The 10176-nt window shown below is 41.9% G+C and overlaps 1 protein-coding gene across 37 annotated transcripts in view, besides 1 other annotated feature; it reads right to left on the bottom strand.

Annotated features, from left to right (window-relative positions):
- Window positions 3850–10176, bottom strand: part of ARID1B (AT-rich interaction domain 1B) — a 434754-nt gene continuing 428427 nt past the window's right edge. For all 37 annotated transcript variants that reach the window (NM_001371656.1, XM_011535984.3, XM_017011105.3 and 34 more), the window contains one exon: window positions 3850–8462. In NM_001371656.1, coding sequence (NP_001358585.1) covers window positions 6738–8462 — 1725 coding nt within the window. In that variant the 3' untranslated portion in view covers window positions 3850–6737. The remainder of the gene's footprint in view (window positions 8463–10176) is intronic.
- Window positions 7139–7638: an enhancer, noted in NCBI's record as "H3K4me1 hESC enhancer chr6:157528125-157528624 (GRCh37/hg19 assembly coordinates)". NCBI's record gives its function as "activates a minimal SCP1, AML or CMV promoter by ChIP-STARR-seq in primed H9 embryonic stem cells {active_cell/tissue: H9 hESC(primed)}" and the evidence as "EXISTENCE:reporter gene assay evidence [ECO:0000049][PMID:30033119]".

Genomic DNA, 10176 nt, shown 5'->3' with positions numbered 1-10176 from the left:
TCGAATACGGACTCAAACTTGAGTTGCTCATAGGAGTTCACACAAGCCTTGGGCATTAGAATAAGGGAGGCCCAAAGAGGTGGTGCAGGTGTGAGCCCTGTAACAGGAGCTGCTTACACCAGGGAGGGATGATAATGACATTTATTCCTCAAAACATGCAGGGAAGCTCTGGAGGATTACGAGGATGACAGCAGGAAGGAGAACCTTGGCAGAGCCTGCTATGCAAAGACAGAGTGCTGCCAGGACCATCCCGATTTTGGGTGAAACAGTATCATTTTAATATAGGCACAGACATAAACTGAGCATATGACATTAAATCTCTAGAATGAAGAATTAACGAAAGACCCCTCTCTCCCTCTAACTGTGGCCAATGTACATCACGGCTTCTGTTTTAAAAGTCCCTGGTCTCCCCCAGATTTTGTGTAAAGCTGCAAAATATCTTGGGTACATACACATTCTTGGTCTCGGCTTGGTTCTAACTCGGCATGTTATTTTGGGCGTCAGCCTCTGCTTCTGTTTTTGGAGGATGGATGTGATAATGTTCCATACCAAGGCTTCTGTGAAGAACCACTAATAGCCATGAAATTCTTTCAAGTGCAAAAAACATCCAAATGTGAAGTAATCACCACTTACCAGGAGGCAACTCGACAAATGCTGTGGCTCTTGCCTGAAGGAAGCGCTTTTGTTTGGTGAAGACCATCTTTAGGAGCCGCATCCAAGCTTCATCCAAGCTTCGGTTCCTTAACTCTTGGGGGAAAATCTAGTTTGTAAATATACAAATCCCGGGCCAGCTAAATACCAAACTTACGCAGATCAAGGCTCAAGCTTCATTGATTCACCTGACCTTAAGCCTACCAGGAAGTGAAGAGTATCGTGAATCCCACTTCTCCAGCCCACAGCACTGCAGCCCATCTCCAGCTACGCGTGAAGACCGTAGTGCTCTTTCTTTAGAGGGGCTCTCTCTGCTGTGTGTCAGATGAAAAGGAGTATCAAATTAAACACTGTGGTCGGCCACCTGCCACATCTGACCTTTAAAAGGTGTTACAAGACACTTTCTTAGGTTAGGGCAGGGTAGGGCAGAGCAAATTTACTGTGTGACTGTAGTCCAGAGATTTGCTTCCCCCAGGTCTGCGAAAAAGGTGCGATCTTCCACCACTGCAGGGTGTTGGACACCCAAAACTGACATTCGGTAGAGAAATTATGCAGAATCAAGCTGGCCTTGGTGAGATGACGGGCAATTTTAAATATGGGTACAACAGAATGGGATCCTCAATCAGAAAGATGTGGGGATCTGAGGAGTGAACTGGAGGCCGAACCCATGGGGGGTTTTGCAGAACCCAAGCAGGGTGGGCCGGGCTGGGGAGGGCAGTGGCCGCCAGCTGAAGCCCTTAAAAGACCAGGCAGATTCAAGGGTGTAAGGGTGGTGGGATGTAGAGGTCAGATGGACATAGGGACGTTTTACTATAAACCAAAAACAGCAACAAAGAGTCACACAAGCTGTGTGACTGGTTATGAAAATGGGAAGCTATTCTCTTGGACTTTGTGTGAAACACATTTTAGGACACCAGCCAAAGGAGAAGTCTATATGTATGGATGGATGGATGTTTGGGGTTAATATTCACCGGTCACATGTGACAAGGCCTTTAATCATCTCATTTAATCCTTACCAATCCCCTGAGATGGGTGTCATGCCCATATTACAGACAAGGAAACTGAGGTTCAAATAATTTAAGTACCTGGCTCAAGGCCGTGGAGATAGCAAGAGAAGATTCCATGTTCTCTCCTCCCATGAGGACATCTTAATTTTGGTTTCAGGAGTAAGAATGCAAGGAGCATTCAGTCCGGGGCAATGGCCAGGCATGAGCACTGGTGGATGAAGTTGTTTCCCAAAGCTCTGCAGCATGTTTTCAGGAATTGCTTTTTTTTTTTTTTTTTTTAATTCCAAGGTTAATTAAGTCAGGAAATGCCTGGATTATAACAGGTGTCTCTTCTGCAGGATTTCTATCTTTAATATGGCAATATGGACTATGGATTGCCAAGAGAATACATAAGGAGATTTTTTGGAGATCTCTTCTGTTTCTTAGAATACACTTTGGAAAAAGCTGGGGTAAAACTTTAAGTCCCTGAAATCAGATTCAGGAAGAAGACAAATGAGTCTCATGTTTAGGACACACTTGACGGTTGCCCCTCCCACCTCCAGCCCCACCAGCTTTCCCTCAGGGTTTCATCATTTTAAATCCCAAAGTGAATTAACTCAGCAATTTGACTTTGGCACTTTAGAGGATGACATGACTTGGATCATCATAAAACCAAACCAGGACCAGAAAGCAAGGGTAGAAGCGCTAGCACAGTGCCTGGAGATGCACGTGGATGCACCTGACAGCGTGGGGCTTGGGGTCAGGAGGCCTTGACTACGGCCTTTGTACAGGTGCAGTCAGTTCCTGCATTTCTAAGGGCTGATGGTGGAGCCTGGGAGCACCGGGTACCAAGCCACTGCTGCTTTTTCCTTCCACATCAGGACTCACCAGCGTGCTGGCGGGAGCCTGGGCAGGCCAGGAACTGTATGCTCTGCAGGAGCAGCTCTTAAACGGGAGGGCCTTGGACAACTGCAGAGCACAGTTGGGAGCCTACAGGCCACACCCCAGATGAGACTTAACCTTTTAAGTGTTTTTGATTTTCAGTCCAGAGCTCATCTCATCACACCCCCTTATCCTCAATAGCCAGTATCTTACTTTTATTTCTTAACAAAAATGAGTGTTTTCAGCCAGGCATGGTGGCTCATATCTGTAATCCCAGAGGTTTGGGAAGCAGAGGTGGCCTGAGGCCAGGAGATCTAGACCAGCTGGGGCAACATAGCAAGACCCCATCTCTACAAAAAGTTCTTAAAAATAAATAGCTGGGCGTCGTGGCACATGCCTGTAAACCCAGCTGCTTGGGAAGCTGAGGTGGGAGAATCACTTGAACCTATGAGTTAAAGGCTGCAGTGAGCTATGATCATGCCACTGTGCTCCAGCCTGGGTGACAGAGCTAAACCCTGTCTTTGGAAAAATAAAAAAAGTGTTCAGTGCATAAACATGGAGCGTTCTGAGTGTTTTCAATGTAAAACACTGTATTTGGAAGACTAGTTTATTTCTATAATTGTCTGACATGGAAGACTAGAACATAATTGAAACAGGGTCATTGTTTATTGAGGACTCCTCAGAGCCTAGAACAGAGCCAGGCACATAGCATGTGCTCAACACATCTCTGTTAAATTCATGAGTAATGTTGCCTGTTCGCAGATTAAATGCTGCTACCAAGTGTATTCATCAGAGTTTTTAACAATCTTGCCTGACCATGAAGTTTACTTCCAAGTTCTTCTAGGCTGGTGCTGAGCAGGACTTCAGGCAGCTGGGCCACGGCCCTCGAAATAAAGAAGTGAACCAACACTCAGCAAGAAGAACAGGGACTGTTTGCACTGTCCATTTGTGGCTCATTTATAATACTTTCTTTGCTTCCTCAAAGGTGAACAGACATGGGAACAGGTACATGTGGTTTGATAGGAAATGAAAGATTTCCAACAGTTTTAAATGGATGGACTTCAGGGCAAAGGCTGGCTTCTTTTCATAAAGGAGGTAGTTAATAGCTTACATTGTATGAGACTGCCCATATGCCCTTAAAAAAATCATTCTTCATTATAACTCTGAAAAAACAGCTTAACTAGTCTTTGAACAGGCCACCTTCATCAGTAAAACATGCTTCTATATCATTCTCTTCCTCGAACAAAACACTGTGAATAGCTATTGCTGAGCAGACGCCGCCCAGTATCTCTTATGTGACATTAAAAAAATCCACTCAAATACCAACAGATTCAACTTTATAGCACCATTCCAAAATACTAAACTTTCTTTGCACCTTTATTTTTTATCTTTTTTTTTTTTTTGGTACACATGTAAAGTCTGGGCATCCTGTAAATTTCTGAAAAGCCTCATAGAAAAAAAAAAACCGACTAATTTTTAGGACAAAGCAATAACTCAGTTTATAGGCAAGATGATCTCAAGCAGGCTGTAAATTCTTCGTGGGCTTCTGTAAATCTTGATTCGGGGGTGAGAATATGGAAAGGAGGCTAAAGTCTTCCTGGATTAGTCTCTAGAGACTGTGTTGCGCATCAGGATAGAAAAACTTGTTGCCCAACGGTCAGACTCTGCGTATCGGTTACAATGCAAACCATAACAACAGTCTTTTGTTAATTATTTTACTCTTCTGATTGACAAAGGAATTGGAATACTGGATATGTTCGGAGTTTGTATACACCTTTTATTTGTACTCTGTAAGAGAGAAATTAGAATAATATTGAATTCCCTCTTACAAATCTCCATATTTGAAGCTTGGAGCACTGAAATCTGTTCTTAGCAAGCAGATGTATTTAAAGCAGAATTATAAATGGGTCTTTAATTCAACATATATTTGGTTGCATTGTTATGTAAGAAGACTGTTTGACTCAGTAATGTGGGAGTTGACAGATGAGAGACTGTTTGCAGAAAAGATGATTTTTTTCCTCGTGACACTGGAGAGTCACGTCTCACAATGACTGTAACTGCATGTTCTTGTCTAACTCTTCCATATATTACTGTGAGTAATGTGAACCGACACAATGTATGCGAGGGGCTGGGGATTCTGAGTATACTGTGATTGGGAGAGGGAAGAGAAGAGGTAGAGGTCCACTAACAGCATAATTATGCAGCAGTTTCAAAGAAATCGATTATTACACAGTAACAGTCAATGACCCAGGAAGAGAAAGTTTAAATTAGAAGTGACTAGTATTAAAAAGCTACTGTGCACCAGGTAGGAAGGAATATGAGAACCATAATATGCCCTGAAATAGAAATCATCACTTTGCACTATGTACACCACATACAATATAACAGATTCTTTTTTAACATTGCACAGTATAAATATTATACACGGTGGAGTAAACTAAATGCAAAATAACTCTGAGGCACACAGAAGAAACAAGGAATAGATTGAACTTTGATTAAACTAAGATGGAGTTAGTAAAAGGCAGAATGTTACATTTTCAGGCCAGTTAAGCTTCTGAGATCTCACCTCAAGTGGGTCAGCAGCCACCTCCCATAAATACTGAAAATGATCATACCTCAATGTCGTTAGAGTTAATTGCTTCAAAGAAAGACTAATTAGCTAAGTAATTTGAGAAAATCAAACTGTTGCTCCCCACTCTAAAGTAGGTAACCCCTAAAGGTCTCTTCCAAATGTAGGGTTTTATAATGTGAATACACTGCTGCATTCCCCTATTTCTTGTAAATAACTTGATTACTAGGAAACCACTTTAAGGAAACTAGAACAGTATTCAAGAACACCCATCACAGTGCTTAACAAGATTTAATGTACATTTATTCTTAACATGTGGAACATATAAAGATTTTATACTGAATAAATGATATTCATTAAGCCAGAGGAAAAGGAGGAATTTACATCAAGTTTTTTTCTTTTTTTTTTTTTTAAACTACATTATCTTGAAATACAAATGTGGATTCTCATCACTGAAAAATCTTTGAAGTTGTGTTTCTTCCTTTTAGTTGTATTTTTTTCATTTTCTCTTTTTTGACTGTACTGGTAACCATTTTCTAAATCAATCCATATATAACCATTTCCACACCTTGATTCATGAAGCAAATTGTGATCAGCTGCTCTCCTGAAATCGAGCATGACTTTATACATACAGAAACTTGTACATTACCCTCTTTTTTTTTTGTTTTTGTTTTTTGTATTTTTTCTTTCTTTTTTTGGAGATATGGCCCTAATGAAAAAATATATAAAATAAAAATAAAAAATTATTTAAATCTACCATCACTTCGTAGTTACCACATCATGAAAAAGAAACTAAAACTTTGTACTAAAAAAAAAAAAAAAAAAGAAAAGAAAAAAATGAGGGTATGTTTAATGTACAACTTCTATATACATCACAGCCCATAGGCAGTAAAAAAAATATTTAAAAAATGATGAAAGGAATTGTGAAGAACTGTCACGTGGAAGGTCAAACGCCGACAGCAGGCATGACGGGAGTGGTGAGGAGCAGTTTCCGGATCGTTGTCAGGTATGTATTCTCAATCTTAAAAAACATTGTTTTTGCTCCCAGCCTAATGGAACCATATTCCTGTGGAGAAACCAGTATCATTTCATAGTTTTGACTACTGACCGACATACCTCCTTGAGCCCCTATACCTGTATCTGTAGAAATTTCTATTGCACAGAACTTTGGGTGATGGGATGCAGTTTTTTTCATTCTCTGAGGAGTAAAACGCATAGGAAATGGATAATTTTTCACCTTTTTGACTCAGTGTGGTGAAATTTTCGCATCTTAGCATCTTTTGCCACAACTTTTTTCTTTAAAGTCAATTTGCTTCCCCCAAAAATGCAATACAACATGGGAAAGAACATTAAAAAGATCTGTGAAGAACAAAAAGTGACCTTTGAATGCACTAGACAGCAACTTTGGTTAAAAAAAAGAGAAAAAAAAAACCCCAAAGGATGTACTTATACACACAGACAGCAAATATTAATTTCATAACTGTTCAAATTAATTATTTCTTTAATTCCCAATTGGTAAATAGTGAATGGGGCAGAGGAGCAAAGATTTTCTTTTCCTTCTTCCTACGCTGGATAAACAAGAACAGAAAACAGCCAGTTATATGTGACCCTCTAATCTTCACTCACACATGCTTGCCTTCTCACTTATGTCATAACTGCCCAATCTGAAACAGTACATCACAGATGACAGATGCAACCAGAGAGTTCAGGACAGCTGATATCGAGATATCCAGCAACCGGCCCTCGTGCAAAAGGAATTCCGAGCGGTTTTCGTCCACTCTGGCCATGGCTAGCAAAGCCTTGGCCGCCCTGCACATCATGTCTACGCTAGGTGGTTCCAGGGGCGGGGGCTGCATGTGCATGAGGTTGTGCTGGCTCTGCTGGTACTGGGCCATCGTGACCCCATCCTCTAGGAAGCTTATCAAGTTTCCAATGCTTCCTTTCTGCACAGCTATGGCCCTTGCTGCTAGTGCGTCCCCTTGGGCAAGGTTCGATAAAAGCGCCATGGACATTTCTCGACAGACTGGGTTTTTGCGATCCCCAACGTACCTAACTAATGTAGCATAGAATTTCTCCTGACGACTAAATGGAGGAGTGGCCAAGATCAGGTCCACATTATTGTCCTGGATACTGAGTTTACAGAGGGTCTCCAGCACAAGTCTCTGAGGCGACAGGACCGAGTTGGGTCCCACAGTTGGAAAGGGATCTTGTGCCTCTGCAGACGGGCACACCATCCAGTGCAGCAAGCCATCCAAAATTGGCAAGCAGATGCTTTCCGTGTAAGCAGACAAGTCTAGCTGCCCGGAAATGTTGGCCAACGTGACCAACGTGTTATCCCTCAAGACCTCGAGGCAGTCCCACCACCACTCATCTTTGCTGCAGGCCACCCCCTTGTCCTCATCCTCCTCTTTCTCATAGGTCTGCGGTGCTCGCTTTCTCTCTGGATGCTCGTGGTGAAGAAGAATCAGCTTCCCCAGGATCAGCACCAGGCCTGGATGTTTGGACATTTCGGCATCATTGCCAGGCACGAATGACAAGCTACGGACAATATTGGACACACAGATGCATCGCTTAGCCAGCGAGTCCTGCCAGTGCGCGATGGTACACAGAGGAGTCTCGTCTCGGCTCCTGGGCTCGTCCTCCAGCAGCTTGATGTTCCGGTGACTTTTGGCTTGCTGGATACCAAAGGGAAACTTACTGCTTTCGGTCTGGGGCCCAGGGTTTGCGTCTTCAGGCAATGCCCCTGGCCGAGCAGAGAGGACGTCATCGATGGTTGCTATGATGCTTTTCTCTTGCTGCTCTTCAGAGTCGCCTTTGCCTTCTTGCTCTTTCTTTCTACCTGCGGAGCTTAAGGGGGGAGGTGGGCGCCTGCGAGGAGGAATTTCCATCTTGCTCTCAAAGTGAGTCTGAATGTGCTCGGTGGTGTCACCCCCGCCGAGCTGCCAGTGCAGAAGGCCACTATTGAACTCCTGCACACGCCCCAACTTGTCAGATCGGTCAACAACAAACAGGTTGTTCTTTTTGACTATCTTTATTGGCAGCTTGTCGAACTTACTGGCTTGCTTGGGCTTCTCCTTTGGGTCTGCAGCGGCGTCCGGGGCAGTCAGAGCGATGCTGCTCTTTTCATCGCTTTCTGTCTTCTCGCTGTCTTCCTCCTCATCCTCCTCGTCTTCCTCGTCGTCATCAATACATTCAGCATCTTCCTCCTCTTTCCCAGAATCGTCTGCCAAGGACTGGCTGTCATCCTTCCTTGCTGCGTTGTGATCAAGTGCTTTTTGGCTGGGGTCTCCCACTTCATATTCCATAAGAATTCCAAAAATGTCAATCAGGCATTTTCTAAAGTACTCGACTAAAAGTTCGAGAAATCCAGACAACTGGAGAGGAGGAGGAGGAGAAGAAAGAAAGAACAGGTACAATGTCATGACATCAGATATGACCGAGGAGGGTAAAGATCCTGAGACCCGTCAATACCTTTCCATCATTGTCACACGTTTGTCTCCCTTTTTGGCTGGACCATGAAAGATAAACTACCCTTCAGGTCCAGCGAACTTCCTGAATTTTACAGTATAAACTAAACCGATGTTTAGCATGTTCCTTATTTGCTGCTTCCTTGCTTAGACTATCTACACGAAAACTTACTTTTTATTCTCATATCTCTAATCTTATCACTGAGGGAGTGCCTTGCTGTTCTTTACCTTTCTGTTCCTGATTTAGAGACAATGTACTCATTATTAGAAGAGTGGGAACATGGATTTTATAGACTCTTTTGCCCAAAGTGACTCTGTTCTCTTCTATTATTTATCTGAGACTTGCTTGCCGGGATTTTTATGGTTGTTATTCTTAGGATTTTATGGTTATTTTTGTCTCAGGTACCATAGGTCACCCTAATTTATGTTCTCTATATATCTTTTGGAGAAGATAATTTCAGCAATGTGGTAGCTCATGAACACTGAAAATTAAAAACAAATCAATTTAGCCTATGATAAATAAATTAAAATGTTTCATAAAATGCAATTTTACATTTCAGTTATTTATGACTCTAGCTGAAAGGCAAAAACCACTATGAGAGAACCACTGACTACAAGAACAAGTTTGGTTTCCTTTAAGCAACTGTACCAAGAAAAAACCAATACACTTCACGATTAGCAACTGCCCTCTCTCCCAACACCCCCCACCATGTTTAGGAACTCTAAAGAGTAAGTAACAAGGATTCTAACAAGGATTCTTTCCCGGTAGATGTTCTGGAAATCAGCTATACCTTCATATCCTACTGTCAGTTTCTTGAAAGTAGAGTTGGAACAATTTTTAAGAAGTCAGGGGAAGCCCCCAGCACCAACTAGAAAGAACTGCTTTTAGTGTGCTGAAGGCACAATGTTCCAAGGGCATTTTCCCTTTTTTTTCCAGGGGAAAAGGGAAAGTTAATAAAGCAATTCTGGTTATGCAAATATGTGATCAACAACAGTTCACCTAACATAAGGATGAAAGCGCATTACTCTAGCAAATGCAGTATACAGTTTTTAAATACTTATTTTCTGTTAACACAGAACTCGTACAATGTTTATGACCTTATTAATAAACTTTCTAGCAATTGAAAAATTGCCTTTCTAGGCTGATAATGAGGGCTTAAATGAGAGAAGAAAGAAGTAGAAGATTCTGGTCTTATTTCCTTAGAAGCAAGGAAATTAAGTGTTTTAGTTTTTGCACTCAAAGTAGAGAGTTGTTTGTATACTATAGGGAAAATGACCTTTTTCCATTTTTTATTTCTAAATATTTCTTTAAAAGTCTATAGCCCAGTGGACTCGGGCATTTTCCCCAAACTTCAGTGCTCCTCTCTTCTAGCTATTATGCTGGAAGCTACCTGAAGCCTACCTCTGAACAAAGGAGGGGTTTAAGCTCATTAAAAGTAGTAGGCTTTTACATGACTGCTTCAAAATAACCTGGAGAGAGGCAGAAATGAGAGAGCATAGACTAAGAAGTAAGTTTAGCCATGAGTTCATAACTATTTTAGCTGACTGACAGGTACATGGGGGTTCATTAAACTGCTCTCTCTCCTTCTATATATATTTATACATTCTATAAATGTATAGA

Source organism: Homo sapiens, chromosome 6 (genome assembly GCF_000001405.40).
Source record: "Homo sapiens chromosome 6, GRCh38.p14 Primary Assembly".
Classification (NCBI taxonomy): domain Eukaryota; kingdom Metazoa; phylum Chordata; class Mammalia; order Primates; family Hominidae; genus Homo; species Homo sapiens.
This window is presented reverse-complemented; position numbering and strand designations above follow the sequence as displayed.